The sequence below is a fragment of the Homo sapiens genome, chromosome 17, assembly GCF_000001405.40.
Source record: "Homo sapiens chromosome 17, GRCh38.p14 Primary Assembly".
Taxonomy (NCBI): Eukaryota; Metazoa; Chordata; class Mammalia; order Primates; family Hominidae; genus Homo; species Homo sapiens.
The window spans coordinates 50,373,199-50,399,042 of NC_000017.11; the positions used below are offsets into that span (position 1 = coordinate 50,373,199).

Consider the following 25,844-nt stretch of genomic DNA (forward strand, 5'->3'; position numbering starts at 1 on the left):
AAAGTTTCTACTTCCGCTATCAGGAGATCTACTTCCGGGCCCTGCGTGGCAGTTGAAAGAGTGGCGGGAGAAGTTGCAGGTGAGCGTCCCCGGTCGCAGGCCTGCGGATTGGGCAGGGCTTCCCTCCTGAACACCGCTCTGCAGAATCTTGGTGGCTAAGGTGTCCAGGAGCCTCTGCAGCGGACCGCCAGCCTGAGAGGCGCAGAGCTTGTCGGGCAGGGGCCCGCTTGTCCCACTCCCCTGATTTGCAGATGTCAACGGAGGCCCAGCGAAGGGTCAGAGATGAGGCCCCCTCCCTAGTCATTCAACTTACTCTACTTAGCCAGCTGTGTGCCAGATGCTGTACTAAGCGCGGTGGATGCATTATTTTATTTAATTCTCACTACCTTATAAAATGGGTGCTGTTACCATCCCTGTTTTACTAAGGAAGAAACTGAGGCCTAGGCAGGTTACATGTCTCCTTCTGGGTCATACCTACAGTGTTAGTAAATGTTCAAGAAATGATTAGCTTTGCATATGACCCAGCAATTCTACTCCTAGGTATATACACGAAAGGGATTTGAAAACATACCCCCACAAAAACTTGTATGTCAGTGTTCATAGCAGCATTATTCATAACAGGCAAAAAAAGGAAACAAATTAAATGTCCAAGTGATGAATGGATAAACAAAATGTAGCATATCCATACAGTGGAATATTATTCAGTCATGAAAAGCAATTAACTACTGATACAGGCTACATCATAGATAAACCTTGAAAACAAGCTGAGTGAAAAAAGTCAATCACAAAAGGCCACATAGTGTATGATTCTATTTATATGAAATATCCAGAATAGGCAAATGCATAGAGACAGATTTATGGTTGCCAGGAGCTGGGGAGGGAGGGAAAGGACAGTGACGGCTTAATGGCTGCAGGAATTCTTTTTGAGGTGATAAAATAGTGATGATGGTTGCACAACATTGTGAATATACTAAAATCTACTGAATGTACACTTTTAAAAGGATATTATGCTGTGCAAATTATATCTCTATTTTTATTTTTATTTTATTTTTCTTTTGAAGCAGGGTCTCACTCTGTCACCCGGGCTGGAGTGCAGTCGTACAATCACAGCTCACTGCAGCCTTGACCTCCCAGGCTCAAGCAATCCTCCCACCTCAGCCTCCTGAGTATCTGGGACTACAGGTGTGAGCCACCATACCCAGCTAATTTTTGTATTTTTTTGTAGAGACGAGTTCTCACTATGTTGCCCAGGCTGTTCTCGAACTCCTGGGCTCAAGTGATCCTTCTGCTTTGGCCTCCCAAAGTGCTGGGATTATACGCATGAGCTACCATGCCCAGCCTATATCTCAATTTTTAAAAAGAACAGTTTTTGGCCAGGTGCAGTGGTTCACACCTGTAATCTCAGCACTTTGGGAGGCCAAGGCGGGCGGATCACTTGAGGTCAGGAGTTCAAGACTAGCCTGGCGAACATGATGAAAACGCATCTCTACTAAAAATACAAAAATTAGCCAGGTGTGGTGGTGGGGCGCCTGTAATCCCAGCTAGGCTGAGGCAGGAGAATCACTTGAACCTGGGAGTGAGGTTGCAGTGAGCCAAGATTGTGCCACTGCACTCCAACGTGGGTGCCAGAGTGAGACTCCATCTCAAAAAAAAAAAAGAAGAACTTTTGACATCTCCATTTCAAACGTGAAGATAAACAAGGGGTTGGAGGTGTTAAATCTTGTTACCACCTCCCCCCATTAAAATTTTGTAATGGTAACTCTACTTTGTTTATACTTCAGCTTGACCTGGAAAGAATTTGAGGAGGATTCCTGTTAGATTACCAGGAGTTAGAGTTCCAGATTGAATGTGTTGGGGCCATGTCATATTTCTCTGTTTCTGTATTCTCTATATCTTATATTTATGTCATAAAGCCTGGCTATGGAACACAGCTAGTGGACTGAATTGAATGCTCCAGTCTGTGTCATATGTCTCTTTTCCTTTTAGGGAATTATTTGATAGCACATACTGATGGCTCTAAAGAAGTCATCACCCTCACTGGATTCTGGTGATAGTGACTCTGAGGAGTTGCCAACATTTGCCTTTCTGAAGAAGGAACCATCTTCAACAAAGAGGAGACAGCCTGAAAGGGAAGAGAAGATTGTAGTGGTTGACATCTCAGATTGTGAAGCCTCCTGTCCTCCAGCACCAGAGTTATTTTCACCACCTGTCCCAGAAATAGCTGAAACTGTCACACAAACACAGCCAGTCAGGTTGCTAAGCAGTGAAAGTGAAGATGAAGAAGAATTTATTCCTCTGGCTCAAAGGCTTACATGTAAGTTTCTGACCCACAAGCAACTGAGCCCTGAGGACTCTAGCTCCCCAGTTAAAAGTGTTTTGGATCATCAAAATAATGAAGGTGCATCATGTGACTGGAAAAAGCCCTTTCCAAAGATCCCTGAAGTTCCCCTCCATGATACCCCAGAGAGGAGTGCAGCAGATAACAAGGACCTGATCTTAGATCCATGCTGTCAGCTTCCAGCCTACCTGTCTACCTGCCCTGGCCAGAGCAGCAGCTTGGCAGTAACCAAAACAAATTCTGACATCCTTCCACCCCAGAAGAAAACCAAGCCGAGTCAGAAGGTCCAGGGAAGAGGCTCACACGGATGCCGGCAGCAGAGACAAGCAAGGCAGAAGGAAAGCACCCTGAGAAGACAGGAAAGAAAGAATGCAGCACTGGTTACCAGGATGAAAGCCCAGAGGCCAGAGGAATGCTTAAAACACATCATTGTAGTGCTGGATCCAGGTCCTCACATGTGTCTTTGTCCTGTGCTGAGTTATCTGCGTTCTGGACCCCCCACTGACAGTCCCTTTTCCATCTGTTGCAGTGCTCTTACAGATGGAAGGTGGGGGCCAGCTCCTAGGAGCACTGCAGACCATGGAGTGCCGCTGTGTGATTGAGGCGCAGGCTGTGCCTTGCAGTGTCACTTGGAGGAGAAGGGCTGGGCCGTCTGAGGTAGGAGTTTTCTGGCTGACATTTCCTCCCTCTCCTCCCCTTACAATTACAGGATAAATATGCTTTTATTTTAAAGGATACTTATCAGGGCCCCAGCAGGAAGACAGATGGCACATTCAACTCAGGGTAATTAAAAGAAGATTGAATAAAGGGACTGTTTGCCAAGGCATGGGCAGGGTATGAGGAAACTACCAGTGACAGCATGGTACCTCACAGTAATAACAGCACAACTTAGGTTTTTCGACCTCAGTATTGTTGACATTTTAGATTGGAGAATTCTTTGTTTTGGGTGCTGTCCTATGATGTGCACAATGTTTAGCAGCATTCCTGGCCACTATCTACTAATGTACCCCTCTCAGTCATGACAATAAAAAATGTCTGCAGACACTGCCAGATGTCATTTGTGGGGAAAAATCACCCCCGGTTGAGAACCATTGGCATAGCTGTTACCATCCCTATGCCTGAAGGGATGAGGGGAAGGAGTGGTTAACAGAATTCAGGAGAGAGAAATGGAGAGAGGACCACCTTGAGCGAAGCTATGAGCTGCCACAGAGGGGGACAGCAAACCCTAGGTGACCCCACTGGGAGGGAGCCAGGGGAAAAATACCCTGACTTCACTTTTCTCCTTCCCACTAGTCCTCTCCTCGGGTCCCTGCTGGTGACACCCAGCTGGGAGCCAGAAGACATGTGGGCCCTGTGTTTTTTGTAGAGATTGCAGAGTGTAGCTTGTATTTTTGGTAGAGACGGGGTTTTGCCATGTTGCCCAGGCTGGTCTTCAACTCCTGAGCTCAAGCAATCCACCTGCCTCAGCCTCTCAAAATGCTGCGATTACAGGTGTGAGGCACCTTGCCTAGCACTAAGATTCTTTTTTATCTCACCAGAAGCATCTTGTATAAAATAAGAAAAAAGATTTTTTTTTCCTCTCTTTGATTTCTTTTTTGGATCTGATAACTTTCTCAGTAACACAGGACAGTTCCCCACACTTTTTACTCTGGGGGTATTAGCAAGCCTTTATATTCATAGAGCAGCTTACCCTCTCAAGGCACTCCCACATTCTCTCTTGTGTTTCCATCAGTCATCCTATGGGGTAGGACTTCTCCCCACATCACAGGTGGGGAAACTGGGGCTCAGAAAAGTTAAAAGCCTTGTTGAGGATCACAACGGGAATGAGAACCCAGAGCTCCCCAAACCTACACTTTGCTGTAATATAGGTCTTGCTTTGCTTATAGGGACCCAATCAGAAAACTTTCTATCAAAGTCCTGTTCCCCAATTACTCCATAATACTGTACTGCTGGAGGATTGTTGGCCTTGAGGCATCCTTGACTTTGATTATGCCCTACCTGTGATAAACAGGAGGTACTCTCATAGACTGAAGTTTCCCTTGTGATTCTTGTCTTTGTCACAAAAAAACCTATCTGTTTGTAAGGACCACTCGGCTCACAGCATCTGCCTTCAAAGCCAGAGTCATTTACTTGTACTAACCTTTGGAAGAGTTTCCCTTCCCTCCATTCCCGTATTCAAAATGGCCCCAGCCCCTTTCAACTTGCTATGTTCCTTTTTTCTCTCTTTTTTTTTTTTTGAGACAGAGTTTCACCCTGCTGCCCAGGCTAGAATGCAATGGCATGGTCTCGGCTCACTGCAGCTTCTGCCTTCTGGGTTCAAGTGATTCTTCTGCCTCAGCCTCCCAAGTAGCTGGGATTACAGGCGTGTACCACCACGCCCAGCTAATATTTTTGTATTTTTAGTAGAGACGGGGTTTCACCATGTTGGCCAGGCTGGTCTCGAACTCCTGACCTCAGGTGATCCGCCCGCCTAGGCCTCCCAAAGTGCTGGGATTGGGATTACAGGTGTGAGCCACCGTGCCTGGCCTGCTATGTTCCTTTTTTTTTTTTTGATGGAGTCTAGCCCCGTTGCCAGGTTGGGGTGCAGTGTTATGATCTCGGCTCACTGCAACCTCCACCTCCCAGTTTCAAGCAATTCTCCTGCCTCAGTCTCCCGAGTAGCTGGGATTACAGGCACGTACCGCCACACCCAGCTAATTTTTGTATTTTTAATAGAGATGGGGTTTTACCGTGTTGGCCAGGATGGGCTTGATCTCCGACCTCGTGATCTGCCCACCTCGGCCTCCCAAAGTGCTGGGATTACAGGCGTGAGTCACCGCGCCCGGCTGCTATGTTCCTTTCTTATTCACTGTCTCTGAGATGCAGGGCACCAAGACTGAATCATTGAGGGCTGGGAGGGACAGCGACACTGTTTCTTGCCACAGTGACTTCATTCCAGAAAGGATAATGCATAAGGGGTGGGAGTTAGTTCATTCACCCAGAAGACCTGGGCCACTCTCACAGGTGCTCAATACCTGCTGACCTCCCTCCCTGTGCTGTGTTCTGGGTACTTTGGCAGGACAGAGAGGACTGGGTGGAGGAGCCAACAGTACTGGTGTTGCTCCGGGCAGAGGCATTTGTGTCCATGATCGACAATGGAAAGCAGGTGGGCAGAGCCAGAGGGTGGGAGGACACGGAACAGAGGGCTGACTCTTACTAGGAAGCAAGTATTAATGCAGTTTCTGCCCCTTCATGCAGGGAAGCCTGGACAGCACTATGAAAGGGAAGGAAACGCTTCAGGGCTTTGTAACTGACATCACAGCAAAGACAGCAGGGAAAGCTCTGTCACTGGTGATTGTGGATCAGGAGAAATGCTTCAGGTTTGGATTTGCCCTGGTGATTTCATGTTAAAAGGGGCAGCTCTTGGGCCAAGGGGGGTGAGTTTAGTTTATTCATTGCAGATGTAGGTCACTCTGCAAGGTAGTCCATCTCTAACAAGTCCAGGGGGATGCTCTGGTCCAGTCTTCTTCTGTATCTTCTGCCTGACTTCAGCCTGGAGCTGCTGTTCTTTGATTTCCTCCCCTGCACCAGTGCTCAGAATCCTCCAAGAAGAGGGAAACAGGGAGCAAATAAACAGACCAAGAAGCAGCAGCAGAGACAACCAGAGGCCAGCATAGGGTCCATGGTATCCAGGGTAGACGCTGAAGAGGTAAGAACGTCCTGTTGCCTGAATCGGGCTGGGTACTCACTGGTCACCTGAGACTTGCTATTGATAGAGAATAAAATGCCTGCTGCGTACTGTTTTCTGCCTTGGCACTGACTAAGAGAAGGTACCAAACAGGAAGCCAAGGGGCTGGGGTGTGGCTTTAGTGGACAGTGACTTGGCAGCTAGTCTCTTCCTACCCTTCCAGTCCATCGTTGCTTTTGGGTTTCTAGGCATTGGTGGATCTGCAGCTACACACAGAAGCCCAGGCTCAAATTGTGCAGAGCTGGAAAGAGCTGGCCGACTTCACATGCGCATTCACAAAGGCTGTGGCTGAGGCGCCCTTCAAGTGAGTAACCCCAGCAAGTCCAGCCTCCATGCTGGGCCTGTCCTTTACCATGGCTCTTGCAGTCAAAGCAAATGTCCCTTTCCCCTCATCTCTGCAGTCAGCCCATTGTCTCTCAAGCTTGAGGCAGAAGGAGCTGACCTCACACTGGGGATTCTTGGGAAGAGTCCTCAAGCCTAGCGCCTTTTCAAATATTCTCCTTTCGCCTATATGTAAGTATGTGTTCTGCAGGCTGATATCATAGGCCAGGTTACCATAGGCCAAGTTACCAGGATTAATTACAGGTCAGATCACAATGTAATAAGCACTAGGAAAGCAAATTTTTGGCCTACTCAGTTCAAGAAGTGTTCACTGTCAGAATTTAAAATAAGTAAATGACCTCAGAGACAATCCAGTCCAAGTCCCTTATTTTATACTTGAGGGGACTGAGGCCTGAAGAGATTGACTTGTCTAAGCTCCTAGCAGTTAGAAGAACCAGAAATAGATTGCAGATTGCCAGATATCCAAAGAATCTGGTATCTTTTCTTCTACTATAATGGACTAGATGTAGTTTTTAAATGAATCAGCAACTGGCCCTATACCTGGCAACAAAGTGAGCACTCAAATTGTCAAAGGCACAAAAAGGCCAGATGTAACATGGCGCCCACCTCTTCCAAGGTCAGTGGGGGGGTTTTCAGTTGCCACTTGAGGGGAACAGGTGTAGAAGAGTAATGAGCAACTTACAGCTCTCCAACCACGCTGTTGCAGGAAGCTCCGAGATGAAACTACCTTCTCCTTCTGTCTGGAGAGTGACTGGGCTGGAGGGGTGAAGGTGGACCTTGCTGGCAGGGGACTCGCACTAGTCTGGAGGAGACAGATTCAGCAGCTGAACCGAGTCAGCCTGGAAATGGCCAGTGCAGTTGTGAATGCCTATCCCTCCCCACAGCTCCTGGTACAGGTATGCTGCTCCAGGGCTCAGGGGTCACTGCCCATTGCCTGCGGGCTCAGTGGGCCCCCAGATTTCCATGGACAACTGTTGAGGGCCCACAAAGGCCTCACAGGTCAGCAGTGCAGGTCTACTAAGATCAGTGTTGCTAATGCTGACCCAGGGAGGGAGGACAGGTTCTCATGCCCCAAGCCAAGCGTAGCACCCTCCATGCTCATGGAGAAGGGATCACCATGGATGGTACCATATTAAGAGGTCATCTACCACTTCCAGGCTTATCAGCAGTGTTTTTCGGATAAAGAACGCCAGAATTTGCTCGCAGACATACAGGTGCGCCGTGGGGAAGGTGTGACATCCACTTCTCGCCGCATTGGACCAGAACTATCCAGGCGTATCTACCTTCAGATGACCACTTTACAGCCACATCTCTCTTTAGATAGTGCTGACTGATTCTAGCCCTCAGGGATGAGGATGAAAAGCTGGAAACTTCCACTTCCCCAACCTCAGAGCCTGACTGTAATGAAGAGACTGGCAGCACCTCCTGGAACACAAGCCTAGGTGAGGCCCAGTCTTTCTTGGGTCTTATTATTTGTGAAGGTCTCTCTGCCTGTCGGCTGGGGCAGAGACTGAAATACTGCCACCTACCTTTGGCATTTAATGTTCCTCTCCTGGCAAAAATTCACTGCCACAGACAAACCACCCCCACTCCTACCCAGCCAGCCCTCAAAACACAAAGGAACAAAGACAGTCCACTCAGACACTTATTTAATAACTGTAGAAATCCAAAAGAATTAGCATCAAATCTTGAAGTCGTGAGTGAAGCTGCGGGTTGGCTTGACTGGGCTCAGCCACTGAGCTGCCTCAACCGGCCAAGGAACGGGATTATGATGACTATGCGGACTTCTATATTGTCTTCATCTCATTGTGTGTATTATGTATTTAGTTTCAATAAAGCATTTGTACCAATGGCTCTGGAGCTTGGAGGAAGACTAAAGGAATGTGTAGTGATTCTGAGTAAGATGTAGACCTACGCAGCAGAGCTATGGGGGAGAAGATTAACAAAGTCCTTTCTTCCAATATCAGGATAGTCATGAGTTGCAGTCCCATCCAAAAGGTCATTAGGGCTAAAAGGCCCTCTGTGTCTCTGAACTATGAGATTCTTGCTCCCTCCGGGGGAGCCAAGGAGCTTGCAACTGGGAGTTTGCAGTGAATGAGCACCATGACACAGTCATTTCTGATCCCTCTATCCAGCTGTTGTGAAAAGATGAAGCAAAGGAGGCAAGAAAATGCTTAATTTAGCAGACAAGAGAATGGACAGTGTGATCCTTGTTTGTGCTAGCCATTGGGTGATGCACCACTTTTCAGCTCCATGATGCTACTTGTTTCCCTTCATATCCTGTTTCCATTTATGCCCTTCAGTTATGGTCTAGAATCAAACAATTCTAAACCTCAGTGTCTTATGAAGCTGACACTTCAAAACCTGCAGAAGCAGGTTGCCTTTGAGGTATTTAGTCACACCAAGTACAACTAGAGCTGTCATAGACAGTGTAGGTTTGCAGAGATCCACCTCCTTGCTTACTGGCAATTAGGGAGTTAATGCTCTAAAATTAGGCAAGGAGCCTGGACTGTTGCCATTTTATGGAAGCCACATAAGTTGGGCAGGACTCCACAGGAGCTGCCCGTGACCTGATGATAGCAAGAGATTTCTATCTCTGAGTCGTGAAATCTGTCTACCATGAAAGAGTCTATGCTTCACCTGAGGAATAATCGATTCTGGTGTGAGTTCTGGTCTCTCAGGACATTATAAAGGAGGGAAAATGATGTAAAGGGAAGAAAGAATACCAGAGTGGGAATCCAGTTTTGCCTCAAACTAGCTGGGAGACTAGGCAAGTCATGGAAGACCTCAGTTTCTCTGTCTGCAAGTGTTATATTGGACTGGATGGTCATGAAGTCCCTTTCATAGCCAGAGATTTTGTGTGGCTGCTAAAATGCTTACATCTCTGAGGTCCTAAAGAAAACAGGAATACCCCTACCTCCCAGTTTAGACTGGATTTACTGAGCGTGGTGTTCTAGTCCCCCCCAGTTCCTCCTGATCTACCCTGATTCCCAGGGAGGAATGAAAGGGTTTGTGGCATACAAAAGTATAAATGTAGTGACAGCTGACCATTTAGTAGAAACGAGCCTTGCCTTTACACAGCTTTATATAACAACTAGAAAAGGCTATGTTTTCTCTCTCCCCACCCCCAAGCCTACTCCTTTAGGCATGCAGGTAACTGCCCCCCACGCCCCCCCGCCACCTCCCATTTCTCCTCATTCCTTCAGGGAACCCTGACTAAGGAATGAAGAAGTCCTACAAAGAGGAGGTCTCATGTACCAATCTGCAGCCATTTGATGATGGCAGGTAGGTCTGATGCTAAAAAGAGGTTGTGTCCAGCAGAACCCAATTCCATAGGAATCCAAACTCCAAGGCTGGGAGGCAGCAGGTGCTGGGGACAAGCTCACTGCTGAGAGTCGGTCTGGAGGACCCACTGGAGGATCTCATGGCGGCGTAGACCCTGGACCGCATTGTCATAGATGGTGTTCACGCTGGTGCAGAGGGGCTGCTGCTGCAGCTCTGTCACCCGACAAGCAACCAGCCCTCCCGCCACACCAAATAGCAGCAGCAGCAGCAGCAGCTTCAGCACAGCCCAGGAACGAGTGTGCTTCCGGGGTGGTGGCTTGCGGGGACGGGAGCCAGACTTAGATTCTGGAGGAAAAGTAACAGTAGACAAAGCAAGTTCAGTCAGAGGAGACCTGCTCTATACTAATCTCTGCTAGTCTCCTCCGTGCAGATCTACCTACATTCCTTCCTCAAGCAAAAACTCCCCAGGCCCTGAAGAGAAAAAATGTCTCCACAGACCGAAACAGAAACAACTTTTCCCTTGGATCTGAAGGGGGTAGATTTGCAACTGGCACTCATTCTGCGTGTCTCATGTAGCTCACAGCCCTCAGGGTCCTAAGTTCTCCTTGGTAACATGGTGATCCACGCCTCTTGGGATCGCAGAGGGAGAGGCTTATCAGGAAGCATCCAGCGCTGACAGAGTACTGTCCACTTGGGGAAACACGGTCAGGATTTATCATTATTGTCATTATTATGATATAATGTGTATATAAAAAGAAAGCCCAAAAGGTAATACACCATATTGTAAGCAGTGATGATTGCTAGGAATGGGGGAGTACAGGTGGTTGCCATTTTCTGATATATGTATCTAGATAGATAGGTATCTTTTCTCAATTCTTTGCAATGAACATATGTTACATTTTTAATTAGAAAAAAATTGGTTTTGAGATTTTTAGACAAAATTTTTAAAAACTTGACTGATCATCCACAATGCCAGGAACTGCATGATCCTGCTTCCTCATTTAATCCTTATCACTACCCTGTATGATCTTCATTTTCAACAAGGAAATTAAAAACCAGTGAGATCAGGAAGGTGGAGGCCTGTGGCCCTGTCCTGGTCAAGACAAGGGTGAGTAGGGGCAGGGCCACAGGCCTCCACTCTCTGTACAGAGCTCCTTCCCTCACCTGCCTCTCCCTCAGGAGTCCCTTTTCACCCAGAGGGTATCTGATCCTCTGCAGCATGTGGAGCCACGTCACTAACGAAATTCAACCATAGTCAGGTAAAACACAAAAATGTGTTTTCTATACAATGTGGCTCCCTGAATGCAGGCCAAATGACTCCTCTAGTGTTCAAGCAGTGAGGGGTCTCACTGTTGCCCAGGCTGGTCGTAAATGATCCTCCTGCTTCAGCCTCCCAAGTAGCTGGGACCACAGGTGTGTGCCACTACACTTGGCTAATTTTTTAATTTATGTAGAGACAGAGTCTCTATGTTGCTCAGGCTGGTCTCAAACTCCTGGGCTCAAGTGATCTCTTCTCACCTTAGCCTCCCAAAGCACTGGGATTAAAGGCCTGAGCCACAGAACTTTACTGTAAGGCACTTTTAAGAGTAAACTTGCCGGGCACAGTGGCTCACACCTGTAATCCCAGCACTTGGGGAGGCCGAGGCAGGCGGATTACCTGAGGTCGGGAGTTTGAGACCAGCCCGACCAACATGCAGAAACCACATCACTACTAAAAATACAAAATTAGCTGGGCGTGGTGGCACATGCCTGTAATCCCAGCTACTTTGGAGGTTGAGGCAAGAGAATCTCTTGAACCCAGGAGACGGAGGTTGCAGTGAGCCGAGATCACGCCATTGCACTCCAGCCTGGGCAACAAGAGTGAAACTCTGTCTCAAAAAAAAAAAAAAAGGAAACTTGACCATGTGTGTGATTTTTGCATATCTCAATGATTTTAGACCCTCACCTCTAAAAAAAAGTGAGACTCTGTTCTGGGAATGCTTCAAGATACATCTGACCCAAACACCTGCACAGAAGTATGTGGGCACTGGAGAAACAAACAAGCTGGGCACTGCCTCCCTAGGAGAGTCCCCCATTCCCCGTAACCAAACCTTCTCATCCACTCCCAAGCTTTAGAGTGTACTTTATCTAAGGTTTGCAGGCCTGCTCACCCCAGTTGTCTATGCCTGGAAACATGAGTGTCTCCACTGTACCCCTGCTGGAATCTTACAACAGGCAGAAAACTTACTCGGGGCCTGATTTGCTTCCTTCTTAGGTTTCTTCTCCTGCTCCCGCTTGGCTGCTTTGAGGGCATCATACTCCTTTCTCCGGCGCTCCTTCTCTTCCGCCTTCTCCCGCTTCCGCAGTTCCCGCTCCTGAGCTTCCTTAGCTCGCTGCTTAGCCTCACGCTTCTTCTCTGCCTCTACAACAAAACATACCAAAATTTGACTTCTCTCTCACAAACACTCCAGCAGTTTGCTTTCCCAAGTGATTAAAAGTACAGATTCTGCCACCTTTACCCTGGTGCCATGGTTCACATAAGAAATATTCAAAGGAAACAGCCATCCTTCTGCTCCTGGAAGTAGCCCTCCCCAAAAGCAGCTGCTCTCAGGGTTTGCTGAATGGTTTCTGATTACGAGGTTCCTATCCTCAAGCAGCAGAGAAATTAGGGTAAAATAACAAGGAGGACCTAAGAAAGGCATGAGGGATAAGTGGTGCTCCTCTAGAATTAGGTACTAACTCAGAAGGCATAGCAACTGATTGCCTTCTAGAACTCAGCTATGAAGAGAAAAAACCATGGCAGTTTTCTATGGGACTCCTATCTTCCCAAGCTTCAGAAATGAATGTGGTATGGGGGGACAAGTGAGAAGAGAAAATGAGCACTCAAGTTTAGGGTTAGAAACAATGACGCCAGGAGCAGTAGTTCATGCCTATAACCCTAGGACTTTGGGAGGTGAAGCTGGGAGTATCACTTGAGGCCAGGAGTTCAAGACCAGCCTGGGCAACATAGCAAGACTGTCTATAAAAAAACGAAAAAATTAGCTGGGTGTGCTGGCGCATGCCTGTAGTCCCAGCTACCTGGGAGGCTGAAGTGGGAGGATCTATTGAGCTCAGGAAGTGGAGGTTGCAGTGAACCATGATCGTGCCACTGCACTCCAGCCTGGGTGACAGTGAGACCATGCCTCAAAGAAAATAAAAGAAAAAAAGTAACAATGGCAATGTGTTCTAAAAAAGTGAACCTACCTTCTTACTACTGCACTGACTATTTTTTTTTTTTAAGGCTAGTCAAGTGAAGCAGTGGGAGTGGAGAAGGAAGAAAGAAATCTCTAACTGGTTGTGATGAATTAGTTGTAAACACCACTGCACTAGGACCAGCCTGCACTTGACTAGTCTTAAAAAACAAATACTTGAACTCATGAATCTGAGAACTGAACACAGGAACACATTCAGATTTACTCAATGGTTCAAGCATGTTTGCAAACTTCCAAATTACAACCTCCAAATTATTGGGTTCTAAAAATGCATTTCCAAATTAGTTATTTGGAAGTCTGAAATACATTTTGCCAAAGCCAGAATGCCACAAATGATGGTTAAATGTCCTTTTAGGGCTTAAAAGGCTATGTTAGCCATAATGTAGCTGAATAGTACTACTGTAAATACTGTAGCTTTCCACTGCTTCTCCATGTAGAAACAAGCTCCAAGTTCCAGCTGGGCACCAGAATGCCAAGAACACACTCCACCCAGCCTCTAGGGAACATGGGCCACTGAGAGGTGAAGGCAACAGGGGTCAGAGTAAACACGGGTATGTCTTGCCACAGTGGCCATGCGTAATAAGGGATGGCTGTAACTTGGCACGGTGCTCTCAGGGACTGCCTGTAATCAGTACTGTACACATCCCTTCTTGAACCACAAGAGTCCTCCAGTGAGGGGCTCAGAAATCAGCCAGCCAGTCAACAGAGCACCTACTATGTGCCAGGGGTTATTTTAAGGGCTTGAGATGCAGCAATGGAGAAAACAGGCCACATTCCAGTGCCTATATCATTTACTTTCTAGAGAAGACAATAAACAGGTGAACGTAACAATGACAGTGATCTGTGCCCTAAAGAAACTAGCAGAGGGGCACCTGTAGTCCCAGCTACTCAGGAGGCTGAGGCAGGAGAATGGCTTGAAGCCAGGAGGCGGAGGTTGCAGTGAGCCGAGATCGTGCCACCGCACTCCAGCCTGGGCAACAGAGCGAGACTCTGTCTCAAAAAATAATTAAAAAAAAAACTAGCAGAGGGTATGACAGAGTGACAGGTAGAATGGCTACTCTAATCCAGTGGTTCTAAAAGGGTTACAGTTAACCTAAGGCAACATTTGAGCAGAGATGTGGGATTATGAAGCCAGCACTTAAAGAGACTAAGGGAAAAGGAAACCCAGCAAAGCCCCTGAGTGAGACTGCAGTTGGTGTACTCAAGCTGAAGTTAATGGCCCAGTTTCACTTGTGTGTGCAACAAGGCCGGTGGAGAGCAGGCAAGTAAGCTTGGGCCAAGGTGGGTTTTGCTGGCCTTGTCAATGAGTTTGGATTTCATTCTAAGTTCAGTGGGATGCCATTAGAGGGTTTTAAGCAAGTAGCAGCATAATTATTTATGTTGTAAAAAGATCTCCCAGACTGTTGTGAAGAGAATGAGTTTAAGGAGATGGCAGCATCATGGAGACATGCTGGAAGGCATTGTGATGGTCCCAGAATGGTGGCTGGTTAGAGATGGCACCGGAGCTGGAGAAACAGTCCCACATAGGACTTGCTGACAGATTGGATGTGGGAATTACAGAAAAAAAGGAGTCATTAACATCTTTCCTATTTTAGGCTTGAATAACTATAGGGAAAGTGATTTCCTATTACAGGGAACACTGGGAGGGACTGAAGGGCCATCAGGAATCTGTTTTAGCCACATTTCATATGAATGCCTATTAACCCTCCAAGCAGAGATGAAATATAAGCAGTTGACTGCCTCTAGAGCACAGCAGAGAAGCCAGGACTGAAGAGAGATTCATCAGATAAAGACGATACCATCCACCACAATACTGTCCCCCCACCGCCCACTAACTGTTCTTCATGACTACTCTACTGGATCCCAGCTCCTGAAGCATGAGAATCCACTGGCTGGGATGAGGACCTGAAAGATAACTACAAGAGGGACAGCCACCTACCACGTTCTACTTCCAGCCGCCGCTGCCTCTCCCGCTCCTGATCTGCCTGCACGGCCTTCATGTGCTGTAACACCTGCAAAGGAAAAGGAGGAAAGTAGTGCTCTTCATAGTCATGTTTGCTCAGGGAAGTCTCAAAAAACAGACTATTTTCAGGCTTCCAGATTATCATGGTAGCAATGTAGAACTAATAAGAGTTAGGCTGAATGTGGTGGCTCACGCCTGTAACCCCAACACTCTGGGAAGCCGAGATAGAAGGACTGCTTGAGCCCAGGAGTTCAAGACAAGCCTCGGCAACATAATGAGACCCTGTCTCTACAGAAAAATGTAAAAAATTGGCCAGGCACAGCGGCAGATGCCTGTAGTCTCAGCTACTTAGGAGGCCAAGGAGAGAGGATTACTTGAACCCAGAAGGTCAAGGCTGCAGTGAGCTGTGGTCACGCCATGGCACTCCAGTCTGGGTGAAGACTGAGACCCTATCTCAAAACAACAACCACCACCACCACCACCACCAAACTAATAGAGTTAATTGTATCTTTGTATCCTAAAATTACTGTGCCAACCTTAGTTGGAGAAGAGTGCTATGAGCCAAGGTCATTAAAACTGTCAGAAAAAAGTGAAACACAATGCCAACTCGAATCTGTAAAAAGTTCTGCCATTTACACTCACTGTCACATGCATGATTCCATATGACCCTCAGCAACAACTTGGGAACAGCATTTCCTCCAACACGCTTTCCTGACTGCCCCTCCTGTGGCTACCTTAAGTCCCCCTCCATCTACTCCTGTGGAATTCAACACAGGACATTGTAGCTACTTGCTACCTATCTGGCTTGGTCATAAGATGGCAGATTCCTTAATGGCAGGAACCGCTGTCTGGTCTGTAGGTATCACACAGGGGCGTGGCTAGCACAGAGTTTAGCTAATTGCAGGCATTCAATACATACATGAGGAATGGCTAATTCCCATTTCAAAAGGAAGAAAACCAAGACTCATAGGGTGATTTGTCCACTGCTAATGGCCAGAAAGCAGCACAGCTAAGACCTGAGCACAGTCCCCTGCATTCCTAGGGCAGAGCTTGTCGCACACACTTTCACCACATGCAGAGGAGAGCTCCGAGAGAAGCCTACACACAGCACACTTGTACTCGGCAATCTGAGCTCCCCAGATCCACATAAACTCGCTCATGGATGACCTCTAACCACACAATCACAAAGATTCTCGCTATGGTGGGTGGAGGAGGTAAAGACCTTTTCTGTTTGTATTTTTTTAAAGGTGGTATTCTTTGGCTGTAGGGGATAGAGTGTAAGCTTGGAGCCCAACGCAATCCTGACTACCCCTTATTGTATAACCTTGGCAAGTGACTTAACCTTTCTGAGCCGATTTTCTGATCGAGAAAACAGAGATAAGATATACTTCTATGGAGTGTTGTGAAGAATAAATAATATAACTTGTATTGGCTGCCTTGTATAATCTCTGGCATTATATGTGCTCAGTAAGTACTGCTGCTTATTTTCTTTACCATGTGAGTAAGAAAAAAGAAGAAAACCCAAACTATTAGCAAAAGGGTCTTGTTTTACTACTGCACTTAACAATTACATTTGAATATGCATGCGCACGAGACAGACATGTATATTCATATGTAATTCTTATTTCTAGAAAACTCCAGACACGCATACCTCCAGACAAGCACACACCCATCATAAGAAGTATTCAGGAGCAGACCAGCAAAAGGATCTCCTTTCAAAAGCCTGGTTTGGGCCAGGCGCGGTGGCTCACACCTGTAATCCCACACTTTGGGAGGCCAAGGTGGGCAGATCACTGGAGCTCAGGAGTTCAAGACCAGCCTGACCGATATGGTGAAACTCCCATCTCTACTAAAAAATACAAAAATTAGCTGGGTGTGGTGGTGTGCGCCTGTAATCCCAGCTACTCAGGAGGCTGAGGCAGGAGAATCTCTTGAACCCGGGAGGTGGAGGTTGCAGTGAGCTGAGATTGCGCCACTGCACTCCAGCCTGGACGATAGAGCGTGACTCTGTCTCAAAAAAAAAAAAAAAAAAAGAAAAAGGAAAGAAATCAGGTCTGGACCCAGAGTTAGGGCTCAGGGCACTCAGGCAGTAGAGAAGTTATGGGTCCCGTTGCCATGATTGCAGGGAGAGTGTGGAAAGTAAGAGTCCAGGGTGTTGGCTGAGGAAAAGGAGTGAGGGGAGTGGATCACCTGAGGTCAGGAGTTCAAGACAAGCCTGGCCAACATGGTGAAACCCCATCTCTACTAAAAATGCAAAAATTAGCCAGTCATGGTGGCATGCCCCTGTAATCCCAGCTACTTGGGAAGCTGAGGTGGGAGAACTGCTTGAACCCGGGAGGCGCAGGTTGCAGTGAACTGAGAGTGCGCCACTGCCCTCCAGCTTGGGTGACAGAGCAAGACCCCATGTCAAAAAAAAAAAAATTAATTATCTGAAAACACAGGCAATGCAGAAATGGGACAGATTGTCATAGTCTGGAGTCTGTGAGCTCCTGGAGGGTAAATTTTTGTCTAGCTACTCTAGTTCATAGCATACAGTAAGCACTTGATGAATACATTGAACAAATCATTTTTAAAAATTGCTTTAATATGTACCAAGCAGATTAAGACTAACCCATATACCCACCAGGGTTTAGGTCTTACCTGGTCAGAGCTAGTAAGACCTAAACTAATTCCTGCAGACAGACGACCTGATTCTGACTGGCCCAGGCCATTTCCCTACAAAGCCTAAAGGTGTGCTGCAGCTCTAGGACAGCTGTGCTAGGGACCATGGCTTTAGTTACCACATCCACTATGCTGCCTGGAGCTTTGTCTGAAAGACATATGCAAATACAAAAGGCCTTTGTACTCAATCAAAATTATTTTTGTATGTCAAAAACTGGAATATCATCAATTTCCTATGGTTCCACATATTACCTACTGAATGAATGGATGGATGGATGAATGAAAGGTGTGTATATGCTGAGGGTTTCTTGTGTCAGAGAAATGAAAGTAATGCCGACTCCTCAGGGCTCTGAGGATTGTGAGATGGTGCATGGAAAGCATCCAGGACAAGGAAAGAGTAATCAATGGTAGCTACTGTCAGCTTGCAGAACAGACATCACTCCTACAGCACCTAGTTTTCAAAAGAGGATTTCACTGATCACTTATACTGTTCTCATCTAAGGGAAAACTCTTGTCTTAGCTACTTGGTTAACTTTGTGCTTGATTTGTTGTAATAAGAGATGATACAGATGACAAGATTATATAAGAAGCCCTGAGCTAATGATAAGAAGTATCTTACTCTCTTACTCTCTACTTGAGACAGCAGAGACTCATCATTCACCCATGAATTCTAGTATTTAAAGTTAAGTCTTTTTTGTTCAACATGCACCTTAAACATAGCCAAGTTAGTCATCTGGTGCTCAGCTGAAGCAGCAGCAATCTGTTCCAAAGCTGGAGGGAAAAAGTGACTATAGTTGGAGTTATTAAGAGATAGGTGTAATGCTGTTCTTAATAGGTAGGGTACGGCACCTTCCAGGCTACTGACCACAGACAATAGTTGTCTTGCATGCTGCTTTCAGTTCCTCACTCCTATGTCAGATGACTCAACTGTAATCAAATACCAGGTCTGCCCAGGACGTGCCTGCTTACAGCTGTAACACCTTTATCATCGCTTTTATTATCAACATTCCTACGACTGTGCCTCAGAAAGGCCACAGCCCCTAACCCCCGGTACTATTAAAACAACTGTCCACACAGTGTCATGTTGCATCACGCAAGGTCCCGGCTCCTTAAGAGAGGAAGTACTGCAGTAGAGAAGGCAGTCTTGTTCTGCGACTTGCGAACTAAGTGCAGGCCAGGCATGGTGGCTCACGCCTATAATCCCAGCACTTTGGAAGGCCAAGGTGGGCGAATCATTTGAGGTCGGGAGTTGGAGACCAGCCTGGCCAACGTGGCGAAACACCATCTCCACTAAAAAATACAAAAATTAGCTGAGCATGGTAGCAGGCGTCTGTAATCTCAGCTACTCGGGAGGCTGAGGCAGGAGAATCGCTTGAACCTGGGAGGCGGAGGTTGGAGTGGGCCGAGATTGTGCCACTTGCACTCCAACCTGGGCAACAGAGCAACTCTGTCTCAAAACAAATAAAAAACAAAAAGATAAAGTAAATGCAGAAACAAAGGTCTCTGTTTGACAGGCTCATAGTGGACATATTTCACTCGGACCTGAATGCTTAACTCCACACAAAGCTCCAGGTGCCCTAGGAGGGAAAAACAGGAGGAGGAGAAATCCCAGGGAGTGTATAAGGAGCCACTGGGAGGGAGCTTGGTGCTTACCTTGTTTGCACACTGCTTACACTGCTTCTCATCCAAGCAGTCACCTGCCACCTTGGCCAGGACAGGATCCAGGGGGTTATCCTTCAGGTCCAACCACTTCAGGTTCTAAAGAGATGGGCGATGGGCAAAGAGGCTCATTAAGCCCGAGTTCACATACATAGTCCCTCAGGGTGAAACAAAATGAGCAGGAAGAATGCCCCTCTGTGTTCCACATATAGGGAGCGCCATCTGAGGCAGGACCAACAAGGGGGTATTTCTGTCAGCCTTTCTCAGGGCCGTGCTCCAGAGTCCCTGAGTTCTCTGCCACCCTGGCCATGAAACACTGGTTCATGAATTGTTACCTTGAGCTGAGCAAAGCTGACAGGCAAGGTGACCAGCTTGTTGTTGAGGAGATCCAGGTGCTGGAGGTTGACCAGACGGCCAAAGTCTGCTGGCAGCTGCTGCAGCTTGTTCTTACTCAGGTCTAGCTTCACCAGGTGTGTGAGGCCACAGAAATCCGACTAGGATCCAAAGAGAGAACCTAAGCTAGGCTTGTCCAACACACGAGCCACGACAGCTTTAAATGTGGCCCAATACAAATTTGTAACCTTTCTTAAAACATTACGAGATTTTTTTTCCTTTTTCAGCTCATCAGTGTATTTCATGTGTAGCCCAAGACAACTCTTCTTCTTCCAATGTGGCCCAGGGAAGCCACAAGATTGGAAACTCCTCATCTAAGCCTTGGGCTCACACACTTCGGTGTAACAGTCTGGAAGCCCTCAAGTCAGAGGTACCCCATGTAAAAATCCTGGCTCTACTGTTAGCAGCCGTTCTTCCTCAAATGAAAATGCAGAGAACACCTACCACACCTGGTGATAATTACCAAGATATGTATGGAAAAGGGCTTAGCACAAAGTAGGCACAAAACACTATTCCTTCACCCTCAGTTCTTGCTCCAGCCTACCCTCCACACTGCTCCTGGAGAGGTGTGGTTACCCATTCTGTCCTTCCACAGCACCCTATGCTCACCATTCATAGGATCTGTCAAAACAGCGTGCTCGTTCATTTTCTTAAAAAGATCAGGCACTCCTGGAGTACTCAGTCTGATTCTTGTTATTTGCAGCACCTAGCACAGTACTTAACACAGGTGCTCAACAGACATTCTGTGAATAACTAACTGAACGGGCTGGGGTCCATCCTACCCAAGTCCTGGCTCTTTCTCAACACAGGTCAAAACATCCCCCTGACATTAAACCTTTGCTAAGCACCCATCTGAAAGCGATGGTACAACCTCAGCTAATGAGGCACTATTCATGCTCTCTAGGGACTTGGAAATGCCAGTGGATCTGAAATGCAGAGTGAAATGGAAGTTGTCAGTACAGACAACAGAACAAGCTCAGATCGAAAAGTGCACTTGGCTGAATGACCATCTGGCAAAGTGTACAGAAGGAGTGCGGCTGCAAGGAATTGCTAACCTGCTTTTATTTTTAATTTTTTAGAGGCGGGATCTTGCTATGTTGTCCAGGCTGCTCTCAAACTCCTGGGCTAAGTGATTCTCCCACCTCAGCCTCCTGAGTTACTGGGATTATAGGCATGAACCACAGCTCCCAACATATTCTTCTTTTATTCAACACAAAATACTTTCTGGAAGAAGTGAGATCTCGATGCTTTTTGAATGTTAGAAACAGTTTTTGATGAGCTGTGACAAGGTACTGTGGACGATGAGCAAGGCCTAGGAGAATACTGAGAGGTGAGTGGACTAATAATCCAATGAGGACATTGCCAACTTCTGAATTCGACCTCTGAGCCACAGCCAGGGCCAAATAGGAAGTCACCCTGGAGTACAGCAAGGAGTGGCACGGCTAGAGTGATGGGTGGAAGTGGCAATAGCACACTTAGGCCTGACGGTGCAGGAGCACTACTATGTCAGAGAGGCTGAGGGGCTGAATGAATCCACTGTCTACACAGGTGGAGTGGAAGGAAAACTAGCAGACGTTGTGCAAGAAAAATAAAAAGGATTTGATCATGGATTGAATGTGCTGACCACATTGAGCAAATCTCAACTAATTCAAGTCCTTTGGGAGAATAATGATAAGGTAGCCCATAAAATCACCTTCTTTCTTGCTCCCCATCAAAAGATGCACAAGGAAGCTGTTCACAGCTTTCTCCCTGGAACGCAGAGCAACTTACAAAATGGTCTCTAGCATCCTCTATGCAGTAGGGAGGTAAACTATTTTTCAGAGGAATAAAATAATGTAGAAAAAAGATGAGCCCAGTAAGTTACTCAGCACCCTGTTGAGTTTAGTTTTCTGTGGACTGACTTTACCACTGTTCTGAAGAATGAGGCCTCCATCTCAATTCCTTTCCCACTGAGACCAACCACTCCATTCCACTGTGCCTCCCCTACACACTCAGATTTAGCTATAGCCTGCCTGTAGGCCTATCCTGAAATTACACCTTATGACACCCTCCCACCCCCCTCTCAACCCCCGAAACAGGAAGGAGATGCATCCAAGGCACCAGAAGGAGTCACGGCTGCATGCCAATCTTACCGGTAGAGTAGTCAGTTTATTACAAGACAGATCCAGGATGGTGGCCTTTGGAAGGGCAGCCTAGGTAAAAGAGGATGAGAAAAACATGTCAGACCAACATCTGGAACAATTCACTGACATATGTTAATGAAGCATTTTCCAGAGAATGTTCCCATGATTAGGAAAGGCCTTTTAAAATGGCAGTAAAGAGTAATGTTCCTGGGAATAAGAGGAAAAATAAGCCAGTCAACCATGATCTAAGGAAGAATGCAAAGAGAAGGGATGTGGCTGTACAACCTCCAAGAAGGTAAACCTTAGGCGAGGCACAGGGACTCACACCTGTAGTCTCATAGTCTCAGCTACTCAGAAAGCTGAGACAGGAGGATCGCTTGAGCCCAGGAGTTCAGGAGTTTGAGGCCGGCCTGCACAACACAGTGAGACCCCATCTCAAAAAAAAAAAAAAAGAAAGGAAGGCAGGCAGGCAGGCAGGCAAGCAAAATTTAGATTCTTAGACATTATTCCTAGCACTTTAAAAATAAATATTACCCAGCGTCCCTCTTATTAGGTTTCAGGGCAGGGACAGTGTCTAATAAAGCTTTGCAATTTCCATATTCCCCAGTTCAGGCCCTTCCTCAGAACAGGTACTCAATATCCATACATGTTGCCTGAATCATGACTGATCGAGTAAGTAGCGGAGTGAATGACAGAGTGAAAAAACAAGGCCCTGCCGGGTGCGGTGGCTCACGCCTGTAATCCCACCACTTTGGGAGGCTGAGGCAGGCAATCACCTGAAGTCAGGAGTTCGAGACCAGCCTGACCAACACGGAGAAACCCTGTCTCTACTAAAAATAGAAAATTAGCCAGGCATGGTGGCACACGCTTGTAATCCCAGCTACTCGGGAGGCTGAGGCAGGAGAATCGCTTGAACCCGGGAGGCAGAGGTTTCAGTGAGCCGAGATCACTCCTGGGCAACAACAGCAAAACTCCATCATCCAAAAAAAAAAAAGGCCCTCACAGCCCATCTCTATTTTCCCATGGTGTCCAGGCTGGACAAGCTCAGCAAAACTTTCTCCCTAAGGTTAATGCTGGACTGTTCAGATGCCTGGAGTATATGGTTTCAGAGAGCAGTCCTAGGGCAGGGTGAAATAAGGCTGGCCATCTATCTTCCTGGGGTAGAAAAGGAGGCATATATTCAGTTAAGGATCCTCTGGCAACCTGCACTTTCTGTCACAAAGTCGTAAAAGTGAAGTTTGACCACCTAAAAAAGTTTTAAATACTACAGCGGGAAAAACACAACAACAGCTACAAGTATCAGTATTTGCTCCTTCCAAGCATTTTCCATTACAATGGTATTTAACCTCCCAATAAGCGTATGAGATGGAAACTATTATCACCATTGTATAGATGAGGAGATCTAGGCATAAAGGCTAACTAGCTTGCCAAGGGCACTCGGCTATTAAGCAATGGAGCTGGGAGGAGCTAGGAACCCGGTTCTAACCACTGTAATACCCGTCCACGGTGGAAGAAAGACTGGGCCCAGCGCCCAAGGCAAATGTAATTTATCAACGGCAGAAAGCAAAGTGTGGGTCACCCAAAGTGAGTCTAGTAGGGCGTTGGCGCGGGTGGGAGGGGGAACGGAGTGGGAAAAGGAGGGATGTGGGAACTAGCTCCACGCTGACAAAACTAGATGCCTGCTATCTCTCTGGAGCTGTAAGCTTCAGTTTACAGGGGAAAGGTTGGGGGAGAGAGGGGCGAAAGGGACTCCCGCCAGTTTCAGCGGAATTCAGATGACAGTTTACCAGCCAAGCTGGGGGGAGACTTTACTTTCTTCGAGTTAGGCTGCCTCAGGGCTCGGGCAGCCAGCTGGAATTGCCAGCTTCCTAGAAGAGCCAGGTTCTGGGCCACACCCAGGTCTACCAGGAGGCCTACTCCCCTGGAACAAGTCACTCATTCATTCTCGAATACATCCAGTAACTGCTCCGTGTGCTCCTACTCAGAGTCGGGCACGGAGGTGGGCGCTGTGAAAGCCCCGCAAAGGTGACAGATTCGCTTCTTAGCCTGTAAAAAGCCTAGGGCCAGAGAAGCAGATCTTCCCTATGTTCTGGAACTGCGCCAAAGTGACACGTGTACATCCCGGGAAGAACCTTGGGCTGGACGCGGCCTCCTAGGGGACTTAGTCCCACCACCCCGCTTCTTTTTAAAGAAAAGGAAACTGATGCTTTTAGAGAAGAGGAAAGTAAGTGGCCCACGTAGGGGCCAGCGCCCGGCGAAGGTGGGCGCCTGGGCCTCGCGGGACGATACTGACCAGCTCCTTCACCGGGACCTCATTCAGGTCGCTGAGGCTCAGGTCCAGTTCGTTGCCGTCCAGCTTGTCGCGGAGGTTCCCGCCCTTGCTACCGGCCTTGGTCATGGTAACGCCGGCTGAGCGGGCCCCGGCTCCGGGGTTCCGGCGGGTGAAAGGAGCTGAAATGTCGCTTGTCAGTTCAGCGGCCCCCCACCCAAACGACGACGCCTGAGCCCTCCGTCGCCGCCGATGCGAGACCGCCTCCGCCCGCTGGCCGCACTCCGAGCCTCGCGCCTAGCTCCCACCGGTGCCGCGACGACGACCACTTCCGTGTCCACGTCACCTTCCGCGACCACTGAGATGGGCTGGGCCAGAGCGGCCCGAGCGTGTGCGGGCACGCCCCCTGGTGCCCAGGGTGATGCACTGCACGTCGCCGCCGCCGGAGGGGTGGGGTTGGAGGCTGCGAGCTCGGTTCACGTTCACCCGTGGCCCGCGGGCATTATTGCTGGCAGTGCCACGAGGCGAAAGGGCACGGACTGGGCGCCAGAAGACTGGGTTGACATCCAATACTGACCTCATCAGATCACCCCAATCCCCCTGATTAGGAGCAGAAGCTGGGTGTCCTCTAAAACTGCTCCCTGTCCTCTACTTAACCCCCGAATAACCATCATGGGGAAAACTCTTCTTCCTGAATTTCTCCTCTCTCCTCCCCACTCACTGCCTCAGTGCTTGTCTCTGTCCTTCCATCCACTTTCACCCAGCTCCCCGGTGATCTTTCTAAAAATCTGGCCAAGTCTCTCCCCTACGTAAAACCCTTCAAACTTGCAGCTACCTCTAGGATACGGACCACTTTCCTTTGGAAGCTGGGTCCTGCCTGCTTTCGCAGCTTCCTCACACGCTCCAGTCCCTGCCTGGCCTAGATGCTGTGTAGATTTCCAGGAGGTGGCTCCCACGTCTGGCCCTCCCCAGCGATGGCCCTCCCTCCCCCCCACTCACCTCTGTCTAGCTAATTCCTTAGTCCTTCAGGAAATCTCCCCTGAACACCGTGAATGCCAGACTGAGTTAGCGCCCCCCCCAACCAACTTAGGTCCCTGTTTGCTACTTTATCATCAGAGACAGTAGAGCTTGATGGCCAAGTGGGACCTCTGGCACTAATACCTATCCACTGGGTATTCATCCTGGCTCTGCCACTTGCTACTTATAAAACCGTAGACAATCACCAGGCTTCAGTCTTATCTATGAATCAATCTATGAGACATGTAGCTAACAGAGGTTGGGGAGAACTGAAGGAGTAAAACACACCAAGAGCTTACAGCAGTCACTGGCACTTAGTAAGTACCCAATAAATATTAGCTACAATTCATGATCCACCTTGTATTATACTCATCTTTATGTGTCTGTCCTTCATTCTGGACTGTGAGGACAGGGATTTTTGTCTTAATCATCTTCGTATGCCCAGAGTTGGCATACCCTGATGCAGGGTAGCTACTCATTCAGATGTCTGTTGAATAAATGAATAGATGGATGGATGAATGAATGAATGAATGAAGGAAGGAAGCACTTTACCCACTCCAAACCTCAGTTTACTCATTTTGAAATAGGGATATTAAAGCTTATCTCAGAGGGGCCGAGCAGGATAGCTCACACCTGTAATCCCAATACTTGGGAGGCCAAGATGAGAGGATTATTTGAGGCTAGGAGTTCAAAACCAGTCTGGGCAACATAGCAAGACCCCATCTCTAAAAAAATAAAAAATAAAAAATCTTGTCTCAGAGGGAAACTATGAACACCAAATAAAGTAAGTGCAATTGTTACGGGGGGTGGGTGGCAGGGGTCCTTGTTCTTAGAACT

The 25,844-nt window shown here is 47.6% G+C and overlaps 2 protein-coding genes and 1 long non-coding RNA gene across 11 annotated transcripts, besides 2 other annotated features; 2 read left to right on the top strand and 1 right to left on the bottom strand.

Annotated features, from left to right (window-relative positions):
- On the top strand, nucleotides 31-8,285 carry EME1 (essential meiotic structure-specific endonuclease 1). 8 transcript variants are annotated; one of them, XR_007065270.1, is made up of 9 exons: nucleotides 31-79; nucleotides 1,987-2,785; nucleotides 2,868-2,995; nucleotides 5,397-5,483; nucleotides 5,576-5,697; nucleotides 5,909-6,026; nucleotides 6,254-6,369; nucleotides 6,467-6,578; nucleotides 7,114-7,203. XR_007065270.1 is itself a non-coding variant. In NM_001166131.2 (9 exons), exons 2-9 carry the CDS (start codon nucleotides 2,011-2,013, stop codon nucleotides 7,739-7,741), a joined length of 1,752 nt encoding a protein of 583 aa, NP_001159603.1. In that variant the 5' UTR covers nucleotides 31-79; nucleotides 1,987-2,010; the 3' UTR covers nucleotides 7,742-8,285. The 8 variants fall into 8 exon arrangements, 7 of the variants coding, with proteins under 7 accessions (NP_001159603.1, NP_689676.2, XP_005257138.1 ...); NM_001166131.2 differs by lacking the exon at nucleotides 6,467-6,578 and adding an exon at nucleotides 7,565-8,285 and having other exon boundaries at nucleotides 5,870-6,026; nucleotides 7,114-7,303; NM_152463.4 differs by lacking the exon at nucleotides 6,467-6,578 and adding an exon at nucleotides 7,565-8,285 and having other exon boundaries at nucleotides 7,114-7,303.
- Nucleotides 130-349: an enhancer, noted in NCBI's record as "active region_12383". NCBI's record gives its function as "activates an Ori minimal core promoter by ATAC-STARR-seq in GM12878 lymphoblastoid cells {active_cell/tissue: GM12878}" and the evidence as "EXISTENCE:reporter gene assay evidence [ECO:0000049][PMID:35858748]".
- Nucleotides 8,040-24,325, bottom strand: LRRC59 (leucine rich repeat containing 59). Its single transcript, NM_018509.4, has 7 exons — nucleotides 24,015-24,325; nucleotides 21,731-21,790; nucleotides 19,541-19,699; nucleotides 19,200-19,304; nucleotides 14,862-14,934; nucleotides 11,920-12,093; nucleotides 8,040-10,037 (listed from the first exon to the last, which is right to left on the bottom strand). Exons 1-7 carry the CDS (start codon nucleotides 24,117-24,119, stop codon nucleotides 9,790-9,792), a joined length of 924 nt encoding a protein of 307 aa, NP_060979.2. The 5' UTR covers nucleotides 24,120-24,325; the 3' UTR covers nucleotides 8,040-9,789.
- On the top strand, nucleotides 21,726-25,359 carry LRRC59-AS1 (LRRC59 antisense RNA 1). 2 transcript variants are annotated; one of them, NR_199069.1, is made up of 2 exons: nucleotides 21,726-21,794; nucleotides 24,018-25,359. It is a non-coding gene; the product is annotated as an LRRC59 antisense RNA 1 (long non-coding RNA). The 2 variants fall into 2 exon arrangements; NR_199068.1 differs by lacking the exon at nucleotides 21,726-21,794 and adding an exon at nucleotides 23,209-23,305 and having other exon boundaries at nucleotides 24,042-25,359.
- Nucleotides 24,302-24,371: a silencer, noted in NCBI's record as "silent region_8697". NCBI's record gives its function as "represses an Ori minimal core promoter by ATAC-STARR-seq in GM12878 lymphoblastoid cells {active_cell/tissue: GM12878}" and the evidence as "EXISTENCE:reporter gene assay evidence [ECO:0000049][PMID:35858748]".
- Nucleotides 25,360-25,844: the final 485 nt, after the last annotated feature.